Source organism: Homo sapiens, chromosome 5 (assembly GCF_000001405.40).
Source record: "Homo sapiens chromosome 5, GRCh38.p14 Primary Assembly".
NCBI lineage: Eukaryota > Metazoa > Chordata > Mammalia > Primates > Hominidae > Homo > Homo sapiens.
The window spans coordinates 149,089,681-149,115,867 of NC_000005.10; the positions used below are offsets into that span (position 1 = coordinate 149,089,681).

At 40.4% G+C, this 26,187-nt stretch overlaps 1 long non-coding RNA gene across 1 annotated transcript in view; it reads left to right on the plus strand.

Moving 5' to 3' along the window:
* Positions 1-20,107, plus strand: part of SH3TC2-DT (SH3TC2 divergent transcript) — a 46,471-nt gene extending 26,364 nt beyond the window's left edge. Inside the window, exon 3 of the long non-coding RNA NR_122044.1 lies at positions 19,783-20,107. This is a non-coding gene — a long non-coding RNA (SH3TC2 divergent transcript). The remainder of the gene's footprint in view (positions 1-19,782) is intronic.
* The last annotated feature ends 6,080 nt before the right edge of the window (positions 20,108-26,187 follow it).

Below are 26,187 nucleotides of genomic sequence, written 5' to 3' on the forward strand. Positions count from 1 at the left end.
CACTTTATACCCACTAAGATGGCTACAATCAAAAGGCCAGAAAATAACAAGTATTGGCAAGGATGTGGAGCAATCAGAACCTTAATACAATGGTGGTGGGGATGTATAATGGTGCAGCCACTTTTAAAATCCAGTCTGTTAGTTCTTCATCATTGATATGGTTTGACTCTGTGTCCCCACCCAAAACTCATCTTGAATTGTACTCCCATAATTCCCACGTGTTGTAGGAGGGACCCACTGGGAGATAATTTGAATCATCGTGGTGGATTCTCCCATACTGTTCTTGTGGTAGTGAATAAGTCTCACAAGATCTGATAATTTTATCAGGGGTTTCTGCTTTTTCATCTTCCTCATTTTCTCTTGCTGCCACCACATAAAAAATGTCTTTCCCCTCCTGCCATAATTCTGAGGCCTCCCCAACCATGTGGAGGTGTAAGTCCAATTAAACCTCTTTATCTTCCCAGTCTCTGGTATGTCTTTATCAGCAGCATGAAACAGAGTAATACAGTAAATTGGTACCAGTAGAGTGAGGCATTGCTGAAAAAATACCCAAAAATGTGGAAGCAACTTTGGAACTGGGTAACAGGCAGAGGTTGGAACAGTTTGGAGGGCTCAGAAGAAAACAGGAAAATGTGGGACAGTTTGGAACTTTCTAGAGACTTGTCGAATAGCTTTGACAAAAATACTGATAATGATATGGACAATGAAATCCAGGCTGAGGTGGTCTCAGATGGAGATGAGGAACTTGTTGGGAGCTGGAGCAAAGGTGACTCTTGTTATGTTTTAGCAAAGAGACTGGCAGCATTCTGTCCCTGCTCTAGAGATTTGTGGAACTTTGAACTTCAGAGAGATGATTTAGGGTATCTCGTGGAAGAAATTTCTGAGCAACAAAGCATTCAAGAGGTGACTTGGGTGCTGCTAAAAGCATTCCATTTTAAAAGGGAAGCAGAGCATAAAAATTTGGAAAATTTGCAGCCTGGCAATGTGGTAGAAAAGAAAATCCCATTTTCTGAGGAGAAATTCAAGCTGGCTGCAGATATTTGCATAAGTAACAGGGAGCTGAATGTTAATCCTCAAGATAATGGGGAAAATGTCTCCAGGGTATATCAGAGATCTTTATGACAGCCTCTCCCATCACAGACCTGCAGGTCTAGGAAGAAAAAATGGTTTTGTGGGACAGGGCCAGGGTCCCCATGCTGTGTGCAGCCTAGGGACTTGGGCTCTGTGTTCCAGCCACTGAAAGGGGCCAACACAGAGCTCAGGCCATGGTTTCAGAGGGTGCAAGCCCCAAGCCTTGGCAGCTGCCACGTGGTGTTGAGGCTACGAGTGCATGGAAGTCAAGAATTATGGTTTGGCCTGGATTTCAGAAGATGTATGGAAATGCCTGGATGCCTAGGCAGAAGTTTGCTGCAGAAATAGGGCTCTCATGAGGAACTTTTGCTAGGGCAGTGCAGAAGGGAAATGTGGGGTTAGAGCTCCCACAAAGAGTCTCTACTGGGGCACTGCCTAGTGGAGCTGTGAGAAGAGGGCCCCCATCCTCCAGATCCTAGAATAGTAGATCAACCTACAGCTTGCACCATGTGCCTGGAAAAGACACAGACACTCAACACCAGCCTGTGAAAGCAGCTGGGAGGGAGGCTGTACCCTGCAAAATCACAAGGGTGGAGCTGCCCAAGACCATGGGAACCCACCTCTTGCATCAGCATGACCTGGATGTGAGACCTGAATTCAAAGGAGATCATTTTGGAGCTTTAAAATTTGACTGCCCCACTGGATTTCAGACTTCCATGGGCCCTGTAACTCCTTTGTTTTGGCCCATTTATCTCATTTGGAATGGCTGTATTTACCCAATACCTGTACCCGCGTTGTATCTAGGAAGTAACTAGCTTGCTTTTGATTTTACAGGCTCATTGAGAGAAGGGACTTGCCTTGTCTCAGATGAGACTTTGAACTGTGGACTTTTGAGTTAATGTTGAAATGAGTTAAGACTTTGGGGGACTGTTGGGAAGGCATGATTAGTTTTGAAATGTGAAGACATGAGATTTGGAGGGGCCAGGGGTGGAATGATATGGCTTGGCTCTGTGTCCCCACCCAAATCTCATCTCGAGTTGTACTCCCACAATTCCCATATGTTGTGGGAGGGACCCAGTGGGAGATAATTTGAATCAGAGTGGTGGAGTCCCCCATACTGTTCTCGTGGTAGTGAATCAGTCTCACAAGATCTGATGGTTTTATCAGGGATTTCTACTTTTGCATCTTCCTCATTTTCTCTTGCCACCACCATGTAAAAAGTGCCTTTCGCTTCCTGCCATGATTCTGAGGCCTTCTAGCCATATGGAACTGTAAGTCCAATTAAGTATCTATTTCTTTCCAGTCTCGAGTATGCCTTTATCAGTCAACAGCATGAAAATGGACTAATACAGTCATGTTAAACATAAGAGTTATTATTTGATCCAGCAACTCTACTGCTAGTTTTGTATCCCCAAGAAAAATGAAAAGTTATGTTCACACAGAAACTTGCACATGAATGTTTATGGTTACATTATTCATAATAGCCAAAAGGTAGAAACAATCCAAATGCCTGGTAATTAATGAATGAATACAAATGTGGTATATGCATACAATAGAATATTATTCCCCAATAAAAATAAATGAAATACCAATACATGGTACAACATAGATAAACCTTAAAAACATTATGCTAAATGAAAGAAGCCAATTACAAAAGACCACATGCTGCATGTATGATTCTACTTCTTTGAAATGTCCAGAATAGGCAGATCTATACACACAGTAAGTAGTTGCTTGGGGCTGGGAGGTATGGGGGAATTGAAGAGTAATAGCTAAAGGGCACAAGCTTTCTTTATGACATGTCACAAATGTTCTAAAATTGATTGTGATGATGGTTGCACAACTATGTGATTATACTAAAAATCACTGAACTGTACAATTTAAATAGGTGAATTGCGAGGCTTCAAGATGGCTGACTAAAGGCATCTGGTGCTTGCCTCCTCCACAAAGAAGAATCTAAATAGAGTAGAACACTTTGAATATATCATCTAAGAAACTACACTGGAATTCAACTGAGAAATGACAGGAAAATCCAAAGCAAGGAAGCAGAGGGAAGTCAGGCAGTCTGCTTGGCCAGGATTGGCTGGGAGCCTGGAGAGGCTCCACAATGCAGCGAAAGAATGAGTGAGTGATTCCCAGAGATTAACATTTCCACTATAGACTCCTGCATCCTCTGCATGGGAAAGCCCTAGACCCTTGCAGTCTTCAAGACTAATATCAAAAGCTGCCTGAAGATCAAAGGCATTGTTCCAGAAAGAGAGCTCATGCTGGGCCCCACACACCCCAAGCCCTAAGCAGCTACAGCAAAATGCCATATTGAGAGCCCAGCTTCCAAGAGACCACAGACTCCAAGGCAGAAGAGTAAGCCATTAGCAAAACCCCACTGCCCCCCACAATGAAGCCACTGCATATTTTCATGCATCGCAATGACAAACCCCCCTACCCTCAACAGCTGCTTATGGCTGCCACTGCCAGGATTCAAGCATGAGCAAAATGCATACTCCCCAGCCACCTGCATATGGCTCCTGCCACTAAAAGCAACCCTGCCCTTCCCACAAGCCCTGAGCAGGCCTGGAGTGCAGCCACTGCAGTCCCCACCTGAACATTCTGCCTTGGGCCTGGAGATCACCCCACCCCTGCCAACCATAGCCAGCACCTGCAAGCCCCACTAGCAGACCTAAAGGACACAATTGCGTGGCTCACTCCACCACCCAAACCTCCTAGTGCCAGAGCACACAGTGCAGGGACCTGGAGACTGCTTAGTCCAGTCCATCACCATTGGCACTTGAGCCCTTCTCCCAGGGGCCTGAGGTGAGGCTCATTCGGCCTGCCACTGCCACTGCAGTTGATACTCACCCACACATGCTACCAGTGGGCCTAAGGCTCACCCTGCCTCTGCCTACCACAGCTAGTACCTGCAAGTACCCCTGGGAGGACTAAGGACCAGTTTGCCCAGCCTTGCTCTGCTCCCCCACCACCAGTACCAGAGCATGTGGTCCAGAGACCTGGGGACCACCCAGCCCAGTCCACCATTGTTGGCACCTGAGCACTCCTCCTGGAAGCTTGAGTTCAAGCCCACCCAACCTGCCATTACCACCACAGTGGGCACACACCTATAGGCCTACGGACTGGCCCACCCAGCACATCACAGCCACTGTCAACACAAGTACAGACCATGTAGGACCCAGAGATTAGTCCATCTACTGCTACTACAATCATCCATGCCATGACCATTGCCCAGGGGCCTGAAAACCCACCCGCTTGCCTAGCCCAACTCTGCTACTACCAGCACCTGAGAAAGCCACCTGGGGATCCAAGAATTGGACTGCCTGGAACCACTGAAACCAGTGCCAATATATGCCACCCTGGAGCCCAAGGGCAGGCATGCTCAGCCCACTGCTGCCACCACAGAGGTCTGAAGATAGGACCACCTGGCATTGCTGTATCCAGCAAAACTTTGCCACAGTCTCCACTCCACTAACAATTGCACCCTAAGCCACTCAGGAAATCACAGACACCACTGACGATGTTTACAGCTGAAGAAATCATATGGAGACCACACTGCTGCACACATCCAAAATCAATGGCAAAGTGCCCGACCCAACCAACACCATAGATACATCTTCAAAAAAGTACCCTCCCCTATGAAAGCAAATTTCAAAAATTGAAAGAAACAACTGTTACACCAGATGCATAGACATCAATGTAAAAACATATGAAACATGAAAAAGCAAGAGAATATGACACCTCCAAGAGAACACAGTAATTCTCCAGCAATAGAGTTCAGTCAAAAGGAAATCTATGAAATCCCAGATAAAATACTCAAAATAATGATGTTAGAGTAGGAGGGAAAATGGCAGCTAGGAGGAAGGACTAACTTGCAGTTCCTACTTGGATTGGCAGAGCAGCATGTGGAGACTTACACAGTGAATGTTTGCTCCAAGAACCACCAAAAGAACAACCAGGAAAACCAAAATAATTCACAGACCCTTTGAAGGAAGCAGCTTGCTGCTGCAAACTGTGAGAGGAGAAAGTCTGCCTCCAAACACACATCCTTACTGGGGAACCTGAAAACACAGATCATTGAAGAAGGATTTAACCTTACCTAGAGCTGAAGCAAATTTAGAGAGCCAAGTGAAATAAAAAAGTAGAAGAAGCAGCAGGAAGAGCCTGTAGGCACTCCCAGTCCCCAAGGAAGCCATTTCTGAATTTATCTCACAGGGGTCCTTGGGGGAAGGCAGACAGTGGAATTAGGGAAGGGCCACAGGGTAAAGGAGGCTTCCAGCTGAACTATGTAATAATTTCAACAAAGTGCGAATTTTCTTGGGCAGCATCTGTGGGCTAGCAGGGTGAACAGAAAGTGTAGAGAGGAGCACAGAAGCCATGGCAGGCAGGGAGAGTCAAGACCTGAAAGACCTGCTTGCTTTCTCAGCAAGGAGGCTTGTAGCCTGAGGCAAGATCTCAGCCCTGCACACCAGAGGCCTGGATATAAATTTAGCTCTATGGAGAGCATGGCGGGAGTGAGACTGGCCTTGCTGTCTGCACAGGAGCTGGGTGAGGCCTGTCACTGCCAGCTTTCCCCCACTTTCTTGGCCAACTGTACAAAGCAACAGAGGCAGCCATAATCCCCCTTGGAACATAACTCCATTGGCCTGAAAAATACACTCCCATCCCCCACAGTGGCCATGGCAAGCCCTGCCCAAAAAGAGTCTGCACTCAGACACACCTAACCCTGCCCCAACCTTATGGTCTTTCTCTACCCACCCTGGTAGTCAAAGACAAAAGACATAAGCTTATGGGAGCTCCATGGCCCCAACCATCACCAGAGAAACCCAATACTTATCCAGGTGACCTTAGGACAAGTTCGTATCCTCCTTCTACTAGCACAGCTGGTGCTCTCTTGAAAGTGCCACCTCCTGGCTGGAAACCAATCAACTCAAGCCATTACAGCAACCCATAACAGAACAACCCTACTCCAAGGAAGGAGAAGACAACAGCCAATTCCACCACCTAAAACATCCTGGCTACCCAGAGGTCTTGAGTCTGTCCACATTACAACTTTACTGCTAGCATAACCAGCATACAAAAAAAAAAAAAAAAAGTGCACTAAACAAAACTACAACCAAGGACCATCACAGAATCCACTTACTCCCCTACTACTTCCACCAGAGCAGGTGCTGGTCTCCATGGCTGGGAGATCTGAAGATAGATCACATCACAGGACTCTTTGCAGACACACCCTAGCACCTGCCCAGAGCCTGGTAGCTCCACTGGGTGGCTAGACCCAGAAAAGCAATAGTAGTCACTGCAGTCCAGCTCTCAAGAAGCCCCATCCCTAAGGGAAGGGGGAAAGCACCACATCAAGGCATCACCCCCTAGGACAAAAGAATCTGAACAGCAGACCTTGAGCCCCAGATCTTTCCTCTGACATGGTCCACCCAAATGAGAAGGAACCAGAAAAACAATTCTGGTAATATGACAAAACAAGTTTAACACCCCCAAAAGATCACACTAGCTCAACAGCAATGAATCCAAACAAAGAAGAAATCTTTGAATTGCTAGAAAAAGAATTCAGAAAGTTGATTATTAAGTTACACAAGTAGGCACCAGAGAAAAGTGAAAACCAACTTAAATAAATTTTAAAAATAATACAGGATATGAACCACAATGCTTTCAGAGAAATAGACATCATAAACAAAAAGCAATTACAACTTCTGGAAATGAAAGACACACTTAGAGAAATACAAAATACATTGGAAAGTTTCAACAATAGACTAGAAAAAGTAGGAGAAAAAACTTCAGAGCTCAAAGACAAGGCTTTCAAATTAACCCAATCCAACAAAGACAAAGAAAAAAGAATAAGTAAAAATGAACAAAGCCTCCAAGAAGTTGGGGATTATGTGAAATGACCAAACTTAAGAATAATTGGTTTCCCTGAGTAAGAAGAGAAATCTAAAAGTTTGGAAAACTTATTTGAGGGAATAATTGAAGAAAACTTCCCTGGCCTTGCTAGAGACCTAGACATTTAAATAAAAGAAGCTCAAAGAACACTCAAAAAATTCATCACAAAAAGATTATCACCTAGGCCAGGGGCAGTGGCTCATGCCTGTAATCCCAGCATTTGGGGAGGCCCAGGCAGGTGTATCACCTGAGCTCAGGAGTTCAAGACTAGCCTGGCTAACATGGTGAAACCCCATCCCTATTAAAAATACAAAAATCAGCCATGCATGGTGGTGCACATCTGTAATCCTAGCTACTAGGGAGGCTGAGGCATAAGAATCGCTTGAACCTGGGAGGCAGAAGTTGCAGTGAGCCAAGATCACACCACTGCACTCCAGCCTGGGTGACAGAGCAAGACGCTGTCTTCAAAAATAATAATAATAAATAATAATAATAATAGTAATAATAAGAATAAAGGTCATCACCTAAACACATAGTCATCAGGTTATCTAAAGTCAAGACAAAAAAAACAAATCTTAAGAGCTGTAAGGCAAAAGCATTAGGTAACCTATTAAGGAAAATCTATCAGATAAACAACAGATTTATCAGCAAAAACCCTACAAGCTAGAAGCGATTGGGGTCCTATCTTTAGCCTTTTAAACAAAATAATTATCAGCCAAGTTAATCTATAAATGAATGAAAGCTTTATAAATGAAGGAAAGATAAAGTCTTTTTCAGACAAACAAATCCTGAGATAATTCACCACTACCAAGCCAGCATGACAAGAACTGCTAAAAAGAGTTCTAAATCGTGAAACAAAACTTCAAAACACACCAAAATAGAACCTTCTGAAAGCATAAATATTGCAGGGCCTATAAAACAATAACACAATGGGAAAATGTATTCAGGTAATAACTAGCACTAGGAATAGAATAGTACCTCACATCTCAATACTAACACTAAATATAAATGGCCTAAATGCTCCACTTAAAAGATACAAAACAGTGGAATGGATAAGAATTCACCAACCACGTATCTGCTGTCTTCAAGAGACTCATCCAACATTAAGGACTCACATAAACTTAAGGTAAAGGGGTGGAAAACTGTTGCTGTTCACCAATGATATGATTGTACACCTAGAAAACCCTAAGTACTCATCCAAAGAGCTCCTAGATCTGATGAATTCAGTAAAGTATCAGGATACAAAATCAATGTACATAAACCAGTAGCACTGCTATACACCAACAGCAACCAAGATGAGAATCAAATAAATAACTCAACCCCTTATACAAAAGCTGCAAAAAATAAATGAAATACTTCAGAATATGCCTAACCAAGGAGGTGAAAGACTTCTACAAGGAAAACTACAAAACACTACTGAAAGAAATCATAGATGACACACGCAAATAAAAACACACCCATGCTCATGAATGGGTATAATCAATATCATATAACCAATATTGTGAAAATGAACACACTGCCAAAAGCAGCTGACAAATTCAACAAAATTTGTTGTTGAATATTCATCAAAATACTATCATCATTCTTCAAAAAACTAGAAAAAACAATCCTAAAATTCATATGAAACTAAAAAAGATCCCATGTAGCCAAAGCAAGACTAAGCAAAAAGAACAAATCTGGAGGCACCACATTATCTGACTTCAAACTATACTATAAGGCTATAGTCACCAAAACAGCATGGTAGTGGTATTAAAATAGGCATATAGAGCAATAAAAGAGAATAGAGAACCCAGAAATAAAACCAAATACCTACAGTCAACTGATCTTCGACAAAGCAAAAAAAAACATAAAGTGGGGAAACGACACCCTATTCAACAAATGCTGCTGGGATAATTGGCAAGCCACATGTAGAAGAATAAAACCGGATCCTCATCTGTCAACTTATATAAAAATCAACTCAAGATGGATCAAAGACTTAAATCTAAGATCTGAAGCCATAAAAATTCTATAATATAACCCTTCTAGACATTGGCTTAAGCAAAGACTTCATCACCAAGAATCCAAAAGCAAATGCAACAAAAACAAAGATAAATAGATGAGACCTAATTAAACTAAAAAGCATCTGCGCAGCAAAAGACATAATTAGCAGAGTAAACAGACAACCCACAGAGTGGGAGAAAATCTTCACAAACTGCATCTGACAAAGGACTATTACCTAGAATCTATAAGGAACTTAAACAAATCAGCAAAAAAACCACAATCCAATCAAAAAGTAAGCTAAGGACATGAATAGACAATTCTCAAAAGAAGATATACAAATGGCCAACAAACATAGGAAAAAATGCTCAACATCTCTAATGATCAAGGAAATGCAAATCAAAACCACAGTGTGATACCACCTTACTCGTGCAAGAATGGCCATAATTAAAAAATCAAAAAATAATAGATGTTGCCATGGATGTAATGAAAAGGGAACACTTTTGTACTGCTGGTGGGAATGTAAACTAGTACAACCACTATGGAAAACAATGTGGAGATTCCTTAAAGAACTAAAAGTAGATCTGCCATTTGATCTAGCAATCCCACTACTGGGTATCTACCCAGAGGGATAGAAGTCATTATATGTAAATGATACTTGTACATGCATGTTTATAGCAGCACAATTTGCAATCACAAAACAAAAAAGCGAATGCCCATCACTCAATGAATGGATAAAGAAAATGTGATAGATAGATAGATAGATAAATAGACCATGAAATACTACTCAGTCATAAAAAGGAATAAAATAATGGCATTTGTCACAACCTGGATGGAATTAGAGACCATTATTCTAAGTGAAGTAACTCATGAATGGAAAACCAAACATTGTATGTTCTCACTTACAAGTGGGAGCTAAGCTATGAGGATGCAAAGGCATAACAATGATACAATGGACTTTGGGGACACAGTGGGAAGAGCGGGGGTGGTTGAAGGATAAGAGACGGCACATCAGGTACAGTGTATACTGCTTGGGTGATGGGTGCACCAAAATCACAGAAATCACCACTAAAGAGCTTATGCATGTAACCAAAAATCACCTGTTCCCAAAAAAACTATTGAAATAATAACAAATTATTTTTTTAATTTAAAAAACAAAATAATGATATTAAGAAAGCTCATTGAGATACAAGAGAATACAGAACAATAATATAAAAAATCAAAATAAATTCAGGATATGAATGAGAAATTTTCCAAATAGATAGCATACAAAAGAGTCAAGTGTAAATTCTGGAACTGAAGAATTCATTAAATGCAACATGAAACACATTTGAAAGCTTCAATATTAGACTTAACCAAGCAGAAGAAAAAATTTCAGAACTTGAAGATAAGTCATTTGAAATAAACCAGGCAGACAAAAATACAGAAAAAAGAATTAAAAAGAGTGAACAAAGCTTATGTGACATATGGAACACTGTCACATGACTAAATACTCAAATTTTCAGTATTCTGGAGGAAAGAGAAAGTGAAAGGGTTAGAAACCCTATTTAACAAACCAGTAGCTGAAAACAGCCCAAGTCTAGCAAGAGATTTAGACATCCAGACACAGAAAGGTCAGAAATCCCCAGACAGATACAATGCAGAAAGATCTTTCCACAGCATATTATAATCTAATTGTCAAAAGTCAAAGACAGAAAGAATTCTAAAGAGAGAGAAAAATGTTTAGTCACTTATAAGGGAACCCCCATCAGACTAACAATGGACTTTTCAGAAGAAACCTTACAGGCCAGAAGAGAATGAGGTAATATATTTGAGATAATATATTCAAAGTGCTGAAAGAAAAAAAAAACTGTCAGTCAAGGATACTATTCCCAGCAAAGTTATACTTTATACATGAAGGAGGAATAGTCTTTCCCAGACAAGCAAAGAATGAAGGAATTCATCACCACTAGACCATCCCTAAAAAAAAATGTTTTAGGGAATCCTGCACCTGGAAGCAAAGGGATGATATCTGCCTTCAAAAAAATGTACAAAAGTATGAAACCCACTGGTAGAATGAAAACACAAATAAGAAAAAGAAAGGACTCAAATGTTACCACTATAGAAAACCACAAAAACACAATGATAATAAGAGTGAAAGAAACGAACAAAGGATACACAAAATAATCAGAAATCAATTAATAAAATGACAGAAATAAGCCCTCACATATCAATAATAACCTTGAATGTAAACAAATTGAACTTTCCACTTAAACTAGATAGCCTGGCTGAATGGATTTTAAAAAACATGACCCAACTATTGGCTGCCTACAAGAAAATCATCTCACCTGTAAAGACATGTAGACTGAAAGTGAAGGGACAGAAAATGATATTCCATGCAAATGGAAACCAAAAGTGAGCAGGAATAGCTATACTTAGATAAAACAGAGTTTAAATCAAAAACAGTAGAAAGAGACAAAGAAGATCATTATGTAATGATAAAGGAATCAATCCAGCAAGAGAATATGACAATTGTAAACATACATTCACCCAACACCAGAGCACCAAGATATATAAGGTAAATACTATTAGATCTAAAGGGAGAGATAGGCTTCAATGCAACAATAGTTGAGGACTTCAACACACCCCACTCTCATCAGTAGACAGATCATCTAGATAGAAAATTAACAAAAAAAATGGATTTAAACTGCACATTAGACCAAATTTTCCTAACAGACATTTACAGAACGTTTCAACTGCAGCTACAAAATACACATTCTTCTCATTAGCACACAGAACATCCTCTAGGACAGACCATATATTAGGACACAAAACAAGTCTCAACAAATTTTTTAAAATTAAAATTATATCAACTATCTGCTAAGATCACAGTGGAATAAAACTAGAAATCAATAATAAAGGGAACTTGGAAAACTACAAATACATAAGAATTAAACAATATGCTCCTGAACTACCACTGGGTCAAGGAAGAAGTTAATGAGGAAGTAAGAAGATTCCTTGAAACAAATGAAAAGCAAAAATTGTCATACCAAAACCTATGAAACACAGCAAAAGTAGTGCTAAGAGGGAAGCTTCTAGCACTAAATACCTACATCAAAAAAATAGAAAGATTCCAAACAAACAATCTAAAGGATGCACTCAAGGAATTAGAAAAGCAAGAATAAACCAACCAAAAATTAGTAGAAGTAAAAAAAAAAAAAATCAGAACAGAACTAAATGAAATAGAGGCGAAAAAGCTACAAAGAGTCAATGATATCAAAAGTTATTTTTTGGAAAGATAAACAAAATCAATAAACCGCTAGCTAGACCAACCAAGAAAAAAAGGCAAAAGTCCCAAATAAACAAAATCAGAAATGGAAAGGAAACATTACAACTGATACCAAAGAGATACAAAAAATCATCAAAGACTGTTATGAACAACTATATGCTGACAAACTGGAAAACCTACAAGAAATGGATAAATTCTGGACACATAAAACCTACCAATATTAAATTAGAAAGAAATTAAAAACTTGAACAGACCAATAACAAGTAATGAGATTGAATCAGTGATAAAAACCTTCCAACAAAGAAAAGTTCAGGAATGATGGCTTCACTGCTGAATACTACCAAACTTTCAAAGGAGAACTCACACCATTCTCCTCAAACTATTCCAAAAACTTGAAGAGGACGGAACTCTTTCTAACTCATTCTACGAGATCAGCATTAACCTGATATCAAAAACAGATAAGGATGCAACAACAACAAAAACTACAGGCCAATACCCTTGAGGAACATAGATGCAAAATCCTCAGCAAAATACTAGCAAATTGAATCCAACAACACAACAAAAAGATAAACACCACGATCAAGTGGGATTTGTCCCAAGGATGCAAGGATGGATCAATATATATAAATCAATAAACATGATCTATCACATCAACAGAATGAAGAACAAAACTCATATGATCATCTTAATGGATGCAGAAAAAGCATTTGACAAAATTCAACATGACTTTCTTATAAAAACTCTCAGTAAACCAGGCATTAAAAGAACATTCCCCAACATAATAAAGGCCACATATAACAAACCCACAGCTAACATTATACTAAGTGGGAAAAAGCTGAAAGCCTTTCTTCTAAGAACTGGAACAAGACAAGAATGTCCACTTTTACCACTCCTATTCAACATAGTACTGCAAGTCCTGCTCAGAACAATCAGACAAGGGAAAGAAAAAGCATCCAAATTGCAAAAGAGGAAATCAAATTGTTTCTCTTTGCAGATAATACAATCTTATGTCTAGAAAATCCTGAAGACTCCACCAAAAAACTCTTAGATATAAATAAATTTGATAAAGTTACAGAATACAAAATTAGCATACAAAAATCAGTAGCAATTCTACACACCAATAACGAAATACTTGAGAATAAAATAAAGAAGGCAATTCCACTTACAATGGCTACACAAAAAATAAAATAAAGGCCAGTCATGGTGGTTCACACTTGTAATTCCAGCACTTTGAGAAGCCAAAAAGGATTGCTTGTGGGCAGAAATTCAAGACCAACCTGGCCAACATACAGAGGTGCCATCTCTACAAAAAAAATAAAAATAAAATTTAATTAGCCAGGCAAGCTGGTGTCATGAACTTGCAGTTCTAGCTACTCAGAAGACTGAGGTGGGAGTATCGCTTGAGCCTAGGAGGTCAAGGCTGCAGTGTGCTATGACAGCACCGTGGAACTCCAGCCTGAGTGACAGAGCAAGACATTTGAGACACTGTCTCAAAATGCATCAAATGGGACTATACTAAACTAAAAAGCTTCTGCACAGCAAAGAAAACAATCAACAGAGTGAAGAGACAACCTGCTAATGGGAGAAAATATCTGCAAACTATTCATCTAACTAGGGACTACCATCCAGCATATACAAAGAACTCAAACAACTCAATAGTTAAAAAATAATAACAATAATCCCATTACAAAGTGGGTAAAAGGCATGAATAGACATTTCTCAAAAGAAGACATACAAAGGGCCAACAGGCACATGTGTGGGGATTTCTTCCCACCAGCAGTCAGTCAATTTTCCAGCAGATTATTCAGTTAGGTGTCCTCTTATTCAATTCAATTCTGACACTATCTACTCATAGATTGCACCAGCTCCCATAGGGTAAGGGCTCAGTTTTACAAGACTGTGTCCACTTCAGACACAAGTCACAGTTCCTAGGACCTCCTGCTTGGATTTCATTAATTTTCTATAGTGGCTCACAGCATTCAGGGAAACACTTTGCTTATGTCTACTAGTTTATTAATAAAACATATAATAAATGATACACATAAATGGACAGATGAAGAGATGGATAGGGCAAGGCATGTTGAAGGGGCATGAAGCCTTCATGTCCTTTCTAGGCATACCACCCTCTAGGAACCTCCTCATGCTCAGCTATCCAGAAGCTCCTGAGCCTAATCCTTTAAGGTTTTTATGAAAGCTTCATTCTATAGGCATAATTGATTAAATCACCATTGGTGATCAACTCAACTCTCAGCCCTTTGCCCCTCGCTTCTCCCTAAAAGTGGGGAGCTGGAGCTGAAAGTCCCAACCCTCTAGTCATGCCTTCATGTCCTTTTGCCAACCAGCCCCCACCCTGAAACTATCTAGGGATTTAAGACACTTTTATCACTCTGGAGATTCCAAGGGGTTTAGGAATAGTATGTCTGGACTTGGGGACCAACACCAAATATGTATTTCATAACACGACAGCCTCATACAGCCAAAGAACTTTGAAAAGAGCAAAATTCTTCAGACTCTATCATGCTGTGTTGAGGCAAAGTAGCAAACATAAGAAGTAATATTTGCTCATTTTTGCTTAAACCCCTATCTGTGATGAAATGCAGCTCTCCGGAAGATGCTTTGAAGACAAAACGGGATAGAACACACACAGCCTCCATAACTCTTGCTTGAGTCACTATATTTCTTAAAAAAGAAATGACTCTGGCCCCTGTCTTTACTTACACATAAGATAACACCTGCCAAGATTAGGCATTATGCCCCTGCAAACCGTAATCAGATGTGCTCTTGTACTCATTTGATGTGATTTTGCATGTGCCGAATCCCCAACACCTGTATAAGCAATGGACTAAACACTGCTTTGGAGGTGTCTAACAGAACCTCTCTAAAAGTCTCCTCCCAGCATATATGCCTCAGTCCATAGGCCTCCATAGGCCTCAGTAAGACTTCTAAATAAAACTAACTTTAATTCTTTAAAAGCTTGCTTGTGTTTTTCTTTAGTCAATGGTCATGTCACATCTTTTCATCTGCATACATTCAGATACATGTAGGCTGTACTTTGCCTGTTGCTTCTCAATTTTGCCAGAAAAATACTACCTTGGGAGCCCCTGTCTCTCTCAAAGAGGACAGAAATGAGCAGTGGTCAACTATTTTCCCAGTTAGTAAGAAATAAGAGGACAGGTGACCAGCTCTGGGCTTCATCTCTCTGGAATCCTCAGGAACTCTAGGCTTGTTAATACCATAACACTGAGTATTCCTGAAACAAAGGAAAAATACTTTTAATTTTTTTTAAGAAAATATGGCCTATAATATTGAATACTAAAAACACAAATAGTAAGAAAAATGCCACTCTAGGCTCACATCTTTTTTTCAAATAATCAGAGGGTGTGAGTACAGTTGTCCTTCAGTATCTGTAGAGGGTTGGTTCCAGGACCCCTACAGATACCAAAATCCACAGATGCTCAAGTCCCTGATATAAAATGGTGTAGTGTTTACATATAACCTATGCACATCTTTCTGTATGCTTTAAATCATCTCTAGGTTACTTATAATACCTAATAAATATAAATGCCATGCAAATAGTTGTTACACTGTATTCTTTAGGGAATAATAACAAGAAAAAAGTCTATATACGTATTCAGCATAAACATGACCACCCTTTTTTTCCTGAATATTCTCAATCTGCTGTTGGTTGAATCTATGGATGCAGAACCCACAGATATGCAGGGCCAATTATTTTGTGTCCTAGAGGCACTGGAATATGCATTGACCTCATTTTAAGAGTTAAGCAAAGAGAGCAGGATGAATGGCCTTGGGAGACCCTAACCCCTCCATCAAGGGAAGTGTTTCCATTCATGAATACTTGGTGGAATACTGCAGGGGGGTTAATCACAGGGCTCTGTGGCTGGATCATTGAAGTTCCTTCCAAAACTGTTAAGAGTAAAAATCAAATATTTGTGATATCTCACGTCATGTAGCCTATGGATAAAAAGGAATCAATTACTAATACAACCAACAACATGGATAAATCTCAAAACTATTATGCAAAGGGGACGTAGCCAACCACAAAAGAATACATACTACATGAATCCATTTGTATGAAGTCCAACAGACTGAACGAATGCTTGGTTGTCTCTGGAGTGGGGATGTACACTGGGGATGATATTCATTGGGAAAGGACATAAGGGGACTCTCCAGTGATAAAAGCTGTCCTCTATCTTGACTGTGCTGTTGAAATATGGAGATATACACTTGAGATCTGTGTACTCTATGTATGAGAACCCTTTCCGCTGTTCAATGGCTCCATCCAATCTATCTCACTTATGTCAACAGATTGGTATCAAATAAAACAGCACCTGTTATTTTATGATTAAATGCTTTACAGTTCAGGAGCCTCCTCTCCAACTTATTTTGTGCAAGCCTTTCCCTGGCCCTGATGTTCCAGCTGCACTGGCCTCCCTGAACTCACCATGTGCTTTCCAGCCTCAGGACCCTTGAATGTGCTATTGCTACATCTGGATTGGTTCTTGCCTCTGGTTTTCCATGGCTGGGTCTCACTCATCCTTCCAGTCTTATAACTGAAATATTTTATCTTCAGATTACTTGTCCCTACCCCCTTGTACATTTCCTTCATTCTACTGTCTTACTTTGCAATTATCTATTTATTCATTTACTTAATGAATGGTAAGCTGGTCTCTTTATAACAGTGAATCTTTAGTGCTTAAACATACTACATATCTACAATATTTACTGAAAAAAGAAATATGTTAGTGAACATGGACTTCAGGGCATATATTTTGTAATCTAGTGTTGGTGACTGTAAATTGCATAATTCATCCCTGAGCCAGGCATCAGCAGCCTTGTTTTTCTCCCCCAGGCCAATGAAGATACACAGGCTTTCCATGGCGCACATGAGGGAGGACATGGACTTGAGAATTGTGAGGCTTGAAGAATCCTCAGAGATCACCTAGCATAACAGGAAACCAAGGATTTGGAGGGAAAAATCTTGTCGCAGATCACACAGAAATATCAGGGCCTGGTTTGAATCTTACCTCTGCCCCAACCAGTTGTGTGACCTTGAGAAAGTGAAGATCTTTTTTGTTCATTGGTTTCCTCATCTGTAAAATAGGGATTTAATTTTACCTGCCTCAGAAGATTGTAGTGAGGATTAAATGAGGTGATAAAACTATAATGTTTAGGACAGTAAATTGTATGTAATATAATATTAATAAATATTAGCCATTATTAATATTATTTTGCCCTGAACTCTAGTCCAGCAATCTTTCTACTTCTCTATGTCACTTCTATAATAGACGCCTAACACACAATAGATGCCAAATAAATATTTGTTATATAAATGAACAATGCTCATCCATAATGGTGACTCTAAAATATAAAAAAAAAATTTTCTTCTGATTCTTCTGCTTAAGAAAAATAAATAAATAGAGCAAATGTTTTAAAAGAATGGCATTTAGATTGGGCATGGTGGCTCATACCTGTAATCCCAGCACTTTGGGAAGCCGAGGCAGGTGGATCACCTGAGGTCAGGAATTCAAGACCAGCCTGGCCAACATGGTAAAACCCCGTCTCTAAATGCAAATCAAAACCACAATGAGATACCATCTCACACCAGTTAGAATGGCGATCATTAAAAAGTCAGGAAACAACAGGTGCTGGAGAGGATGTGGAGAAATAGGAACACTTTTACACTGTTGGTGGGACTGTAAACTAGTTCAACCATTGTGGAAGACAGTGTGGCAATTCCTCAAGGATCTAGAACTAGAAATACCATTTGACCCAGCCATCCCATTACTGGGTATATACCCAAAGGATTATAAATCATGCTGCTATAAAGACACATGCACACATATGTTTATTGTGGCACTATTCACAATAGCAAAGACTTGGAACCAACCCAAATGTCCAACAATGATAGACTGGATTAAGAAAATGTGGCACATATACACCATGGAATACTATGCAGCCATAAAAAAGGATGAGTTCCTGTCCTTTGTAGGGACATGGATGAAGCTGGAAACCATCATTCTCAGCAAACTATCACAAGGACAGAAAACCAAACACCGCATGTTCTCACTCGCAGGTGGGAAATGAACAATGAGAACACTTGGACACAGGGTGGGGAACACCACACACCAGGGCCTGCCATGGGATCAGGGGAGGTGGGAGGGATAGCATTTGGAGATATACCTAACGTAAATGACGAGTTAATGGGTGCAGCACACCAACATGGCACATGTATACATATGTAACAAACCTGCACATTGTGCACATGTACCCTAGAACTTAAAGTATAATAAAAAAAAGTTTTTAAAAACCCATCTCTATTAAAAATACAAAAAGTCAGCCGGGCATGGTGGTGGACACCTGTAATCTCAGCTACTCGGGAGGCTGAGGCAGGAGAATCGCTTCAATCCGGGAGGCAGAGGTTACTGTGAGGTGAGATCACGCCGCTACACTCCAGCCTGGGCAATAAGAGTAAAACTCCATCACAAAAAAAAAAAAAGACTGATATTTATTAGTGTATTCTTTAATTGTCTGTAAAATGCTCTTATGCAGAAGAACTCTTCTTTCATGATAGGGATTAAGGCAAAAATGAAATATAAGGCAACATAGTATTGCACAGGCTGAGAATCTAGAACTTCAAGGAACAGTGGACATCATCTAGATTAATAGTTCTCAACCGTGGTGGCAAGTACACTCTCCCAAAAATATTTTATACATACACGTGCAGTGTGCTGAAATCCCATGCTAGTCTGAGGCTCCAGACTTCTGGGAGCGAGGCCCAGATTTCAGTCTTGATCAGACAGCTCCAAATGACTATTGTACAACCCGGGTTGAAAATTGATCTAGTCTAATGCTCTTATTTTATAAAGGAAACCTTGGGCCCAGAGATGAAAATGGACTTGCATAAGATGGTGAAGCACATTAGAGGACTTTCCAAAGCAAACATTTTCTTCTCCCAAGTCACAGTCCAGCTCTGGTCTCACAACACTGAAACAGTTGTCATGATTAATGGTGTGCTGGTAAACCAGCAATCCAGAAAAAAAAAGGCTCTGATTTGTATTATTTGCCAGTTTCCATGGTATAAATACTACCAGCATGGTTAATTTCATGCTACCAATGTTAAATAACCAGCTCACAAAATTCCTGTGTATTTAATAATCAGGTCTCAAGGGCTGGTACATGCTGGCTCCAGAACACTACTGTGACCATCACCCATCTGCATCAGTATTACATCAGAAACCCTAGCTCTATCTGAGACTGACTCAATCCAAATTATTATAGTTGCAACCCAGAAGTCTGACTTTCTAAGAAACAACCTTGATAAAACTCATACAAGCCAAAGTTGGAGCACCATGCTGCATGGAATAATGCAGCAGTCTCATAGGTACCCTGGATAGTCATGAGTTGATGCTATGAACCAACAGAAGGACCTTATCTAATGTGGTTATCATCTCATCATGGACAACCCAGTGCCCATGCCACCTTGTGCACAGTGATGGAAGCATAGCATTGTCTTTGACTAATGAGACCCTGATTCATTTTGACAGGAAGACAGATGTCAGCTTTCTGAAGAAAGTGTCAAGCATTTGTCCCTTACAAGGACTGGGAAGAAAGAGCATACATTTTCCCCGTTGCCTGCCCTTGACATATTTATAACATCCCAGGACTGGCACTGACCATCCTCTCCCAAGTAACGGAATGTCAAGATGACTGCAGAGATTATGCTGTGAGTAGAAAAGCTTTATAGTAAGCCGAGGTGATCACCAGCCTCCCTGAGCTAAAATAATCACAGACTTTTTTTCTTAGTGACCCCTGTCCTACTCTCAGGCACCTTATATCCTCAAATCTTAAATAGAGTTAAGAGATTGGGCAGGCCTGGCCTATTATTCTACCTACTTCCACTGGACATAAGACATGTTTTATGTAATCCTGGAATTTTTACACCAATCAAATACTATGAAAGTCATCAAGCTGAATAGTGACTATAACCCCAAATTCATGGATGCCCTGAACTCTAATCCAGACTGAACCACCCTATTCCCAGTTAGAAAAACTCAATTAATCCTGATGAGCCTGGATCTCCAGAAGATATTAGGAATATAGAGTCAGCTGGTAGGCAGATGTTATATCAGTCCATGAGCATCATGCTAGGTAGGCGGCACACTCTGACTTCTTGTCACTTCCATGATCCAAAGAGAGCATCTCACTTGTCACTGAAAATGTAGAGTTTCTGCACCTGAATTAAGGCCAAGGGGAAAAATAAAGGTGCAAGGTCTGAGACCTTCCACCATCTGCGCATCACACTGTGATGTGGTGAAAATCCTGGGGAGATCCTCAACCTTCATTGCTCACCGCCAAACCCCAACTCATGCTCTCACTAGCCCATAATGCAGTCACACTGCCAAATAAGAAGAGCTACCACCAGCTCATCAATGGAAAATTGTGCTGAATAATTGCTGTGTGGGAATAAAAATGCCTCTCCCAATAGCACCTTCTCTCATGAAACAAAGCAAAGCCCTTTCCTTAACTCCTATCCTTTCGGTGAGACGACATAGACCCTGCTTGCATGGGAAATGTAGAAGAAGTTGCCATAAACGTAAGGGTTAGAGAGGGACCATTAAATAAGATTCCTTTGTGGTTAGGTGATTTCAGCATAAAATCTAAACAGAGGTGACACAAAGTTGAAGAACCAGGAAGCAAGGCTGGCTTCGGTCAGATAGAAGCTTGCATAACCATTAAAACTTGATTCCATGACTTAGGACAAATTCACTGTGAATCACTAAGAAAAAGTATAATTGCTAAAGGATGGAAAGTGGGGTTGAAAGATGTCAGGGGGCTGGAAAAAAAAATAATTATAAACAATAGAGATCTTTATACCCACTCTGGTAGGCTTCAAACTTGGCTAAAACTAACTTTCCTACTATAGAGTTGACATAGAAGTAAAGAATTTTCAAACCAGAATGTCCTTAAAAAGTACAATAGCCAGTCTAGAAAGTGCAGTGCTTTTAAAGCCATTTCTAGATCTAAAAACACATTGTTTTTTCATTCAGAATAATTATTTAAAAATAATAAAACTTGGAGCTCAATAACCATAAGGATCACCTACTGAGTGATTACTTCGAACCAGGCACTAATCTGAGTGCTTTCTATGTATTATCTCACTTAATCCTCATAACATTCCTGTGAGGCAGGCATTACCACTGTCCCCTTTTTACAGGTGTAGAAACAGGCATAAAGAGATGAAGTACTTGCCAGGGTCACACAGCTGGTCTGTCATGGAGCAGGACACAGGAAGAACTGCCCTGTTTAAAGCAGAGGAGAGGGCAGGGGTCTGCAGTCCTGCCACTGATCCTTCCCACAGCACAGGTGACCCTGCTTGAAAACCACTGATAAGAAAAACAGAAAAGAAATAGAATTGCTTAAGGTCAAGCCAGGATAAAGTGTGACAAACATAAATATTTTAATGCATATTTAGCTTTAAGAAAAAAAAGGGTTGGCAGGGACAGTGGCTCATGCTTGTAATCCCAGCACTTTGGGAGGCTGAGGCAGGGAGGGTTGCTTGACCCCAGAAGTTTGAGATTAGCCTAGGCAACATAGGGAGACCCCATTTCTACAAAAAATCAAAAACTTAGCTGGGCATGATAATGTTCACCTGTAGCCCCAGGTGCTTGGGAGGCTGAGGCGGGAGAATCACTTGAGCCAGGAAGTGAAGGCTGCAGTGAGCCATGATCATGCCACTGCAAGATTCTGAGAATAAAAAAGAGAGAAAGAACAAGAGAGAGAGAGAGAGGAGGAGGAGGAGGAGGAAGAGAAGAGAAGAGAAGAGAAGAGAAGAGAAGAGAAGAGAAGAGAAGAGAAGAGAAGAGGAGAGAAGAGGAGAGAGAGAAAGACAGAAGAAAGAGAAAGAAAGAAAAGAGAGAAAGAAAGGAGAGACAGAAAGGAGAGAGAAAAGAGAAAGAAAGAGAGAGAGAGAAAGAGAGAGAAAAAGAAAGGAAGGAAGGAAAGAGAGAGAGACAGAAAGAAAGAGAAAAAGAGAGAGAGAGAAAGAGAAAGAAAGAGAAAGAAAGAAAGAAAGAAAGAAAGAAAGAAAGAAAGAAAGAAAGAAAGAAAGAAAGAAAGAAAGAAAGAAAGAAAGAAAGAAAGAAACAGAACAGACAGACCCGGGAGCCAGAAACAAAAGCAGAAATCGGTGATCAGAGCCCGATCAGGAGGTGAAAATAGATGCCATGGAGATCCTGGAGTTTCTCAGCCTACACTGGTCCACAGAGCTGGGGGCTAGCCTTCTGTTGCCCCCACCTGTTAACAATGACCTTGAGCCCATGTGAAGCCAGGGAGTGGGAAATTTGCTCCCTACAGAAAGCCTGCAGGCTGGAAGGGTTGATGTTCCATCAAAAAGGAATTGGAAAACTTCCTTTGACAGGAGAAGACCCTGAAGAAGCTTTGCATCTGTTAGAGGCCTTACAAGGAAAAGTCAAACACCCAGGCCTGCACCTTGAGAAAGTACCATGCATTGTGCAGGAACCCCATTCAGAGGAGTTAGTGACAAAAACTGGTTTCTGGATGTTGATTCTCTAAGAATACAACAGAAACAATGGCAAAAACAACTCCTTAAGGATATTTTCATAGTGCGGGGTTCACATGAAGCCCATTTTCTTAAAACGCTGAAGAATACAGTCATGCACTGCATAATGACATTTTGGTCAATGACAGGCCACATATATGACAGTGATCCCATAAGATTACAAATGGAGCTGAAAAATTCCTATCACCTAGTGACATCTTGATGATCCTGACCCTGTGTAGGCCTAGGCTAATGTGTGTGTTTGTATCTTCATTTTTTAACAAAAAAGTTTCAAAAGTTAAAAAAAAGTAAATAATTTTAAAAATAGAAAAAAAGTCTTACAGAATAAGTGTATTAGTCCATTTCCACACTGCTATAAAGAACTACCTGAGACTGGATGATTTATGAAGAAAAGAAGTTTAATTGACTCACAGTTCCACACGCTTAACACGAAGCATGACTGGGAGTCCTCAGGAAACTTACAATCATGGCAGAAGGCAAAGTGTAAGAAAGCACCTTCTTCACAAGGTGACAGGAGAGAGAAAGAGCAACAGGGAGAAGTGCCACAGACTTTTAAACCATCAGATCTTGTGAGAACTCACTCACTATCATGAGAACAGTAAGAGGAAATCCACCCCCATGATCTAATCACCTCCCAGCAGATGCCTCCCCCAACACTGAGGATTACAATTGAACACAAGATTTGGGAGGGGACACGGAGCCAAACCATATCCATAAGGATATAAATAAAAAAAAAGTTTTGTACTGCTTACAATGTGTTTGTGCATTCAGCTAGGTGTTATTACAAAAGAATCAAGAAGTTTTAAAAAATTAAAGATTATAAAGTTAAGAAGCTATAGTAAGCTAAAGTTAATTAATTATTGAAGGAAGAATTTTTTTTATATAAATTTAGTGTAGCCTAACTGTACAGTGTTGATCTCAGCTCACTGCAACCTCCGCCTTCTGGGTTCAAGCAATTCTCCTGCCTCAGCCTCCCGAGTAGCTGAAATTGCAGGCGTCCACCACCATGCCCGGCTAATTTTTTCTGCAGTAGTATACAGTAATGTTCTAAGCCTTCATATTCACTAACTCACCCAGAGCAACTTCCATTCCTGCAATATCTATTCATGGTAAATGCTCTATACAAATGTACCATTTTTTATCTTTTATACTGTATTTTTGCTGTACCTTTTCTATGTTTAGACAAATAAATACCATTGTGTTACAATTGCCTACAGTATTCAGGAAAGTAACATGTTGTATAGGATTGTAGCTTAGGAGCATTAGGCAATATTATACTCTAGGTATGCAGTAGGCTATACCACCTAGGTTTGCGAAAGTACACTCTATGATGTTCACACAACAAGAAAATCATCTAATGACTCGTTTCTCAAGAATGAATCCAGAGTTAAGCAATGCATGACTATAGTTCAAAGTAGTTCATAGTTAAAACAGATACAAATCAAATAAGGAAATTGAACACCAAGAGAAAAAAAACAACAGATGCAACTGATCAGTGAACCAGCACTGCAAGAATGAGAAATTAAAAAACTATGAATGAAAGAGATAGAATAAGCATGTTAAAAGGTAGACTTCATAGTAAGTGTTCTTATCACAACTTTTTTTAAAAAGGGAGAAAAAACACAGACTAAACTGCAAAGAAATGACTATTAAACTGACAGCAAAATTCTAATAAAATTAGAAACAAAAAGAAAATGGAATTATACAGACAGCACAAGTAAATGGTATTGGGCAACAATTTGTATAAACTTTTAAATGTACAAAGCCATACTGTTAAATATTTATGAACATGTACAGATTTAATAAGAGCATCAGAATATGGACAGGAGAAAGACCACTTACATCAGAAGAGAGAATGCCTCTAGGGTGGAAGGAAGGGGAATGTGATTAAGGAGGGCTATAAAGGAGACCTCAACTGTATCTGAAACCTGCTATTTCCTTTAAATAAGTACACACACTCACACGCACATACACAGAGACACACAAACACATTTGGATACAAAATATTCTTAAATGTCAATATGAAAAAGCAAGTCCTGTCACCTTCACAGATGTAAGATTCCCATAGCCACCTTGGCCAAGCTCAGTAACATATCTACTTCATTAGAATGTCTGCTCAATGCTTCTAAGACTTGTTTTCAACTGCTATTGCTGTAGAATTAGTTACTGAGGCTGGAATCTCCTTACTTTCATGACAAGCAGGCTGGTTTCCCATGTGTGGATCAGAAGTCAGCTTCCTGATGCGATTTCACTCTCAATATACTGCCTGTCTGGCCAGTAGAAGCTTCTAGGGGTAAATATCAGCACAGGGAGAGAACAGCAAAGGCTGAATTTCTTCTCAGAACCCTGACACCAAAGGAACATAGATGAAGAGTGACACCCAGTGGCCAGACAGAAGGCAGAGTGCAGAGACTTCAGCTCCTTGGCTGCTTGCTTGTGTGGAGCTGGGTCATTCCTCTGAGCTCAAAATCCAGCCTTCGGTTGCTGTGATTCAAGGAGCTCCGATATCTGGATAGTGCTTTGGGGGATATGCAAGGAGCCAGTTCCCCTCTTCTCCTTGTGCCACCCGTCCCTGTTTTCTGGCTCATTTCCCCCTTCTGTACCAATTGTGCAATCTCTGGTGCATTGGGTCCCACAGCTGACCAGGCACAGGAGAATGTTGTAGTCCACCTCACACAGCACAGAGGACGCTGTTCTTCAGTGTGAGAGGACCCCTTAAAACTAAGCAAGTGAAATGTGATGAATGAATTAATTCAGTAGTGCTGACTTACTGTCATTTGAGGTAAATTAGCGTGAGGTCCAGAAGTCCAAATATAAGTTATGAAAATGACAGCTGTCTCCAATATCCTGTTAAAACTGCCTCTCAAGATCACCACCCACAACAATGCAATGGCACAAACAACAATAAGAACAAGTGCCTGTGAATCATACACACACACACTGTGCCAGGCACCATTCTGAGGGCTTTGTGTGTATTATTAACTCATTTAAACTCATGACAAGTGCTAACATTCTACGCATTTTACAGATGAGAAAACTGAGGCATGGAGAGATAAATGTATGTGTCCAAAGTCACAGAGCTGGTAAGCCAGTGGAAGCACCAGCTGCACTCACATGGTCACGAATGCTTTTTGGGCAGCCTTACTCCAGAACTCTGTAAGCCATTTAGCTACTGTGCTTCTGGATGACCTCCTAATGGCTGGCCCTGAAGGTCTTTCCTCAGTTGGCCCTGCTGTGCCTCTCTGAGGACAGCAGCAGTGTCAGCCCCCATCTCCCCCGTGGCTTATTTCTTCCTCTCTGTGGCTCCTCTGTCTCCTCTCTGCATTCTCTCTTCCTTCACTCTGTAAATGGAGGCATCCTCCATGGTTCT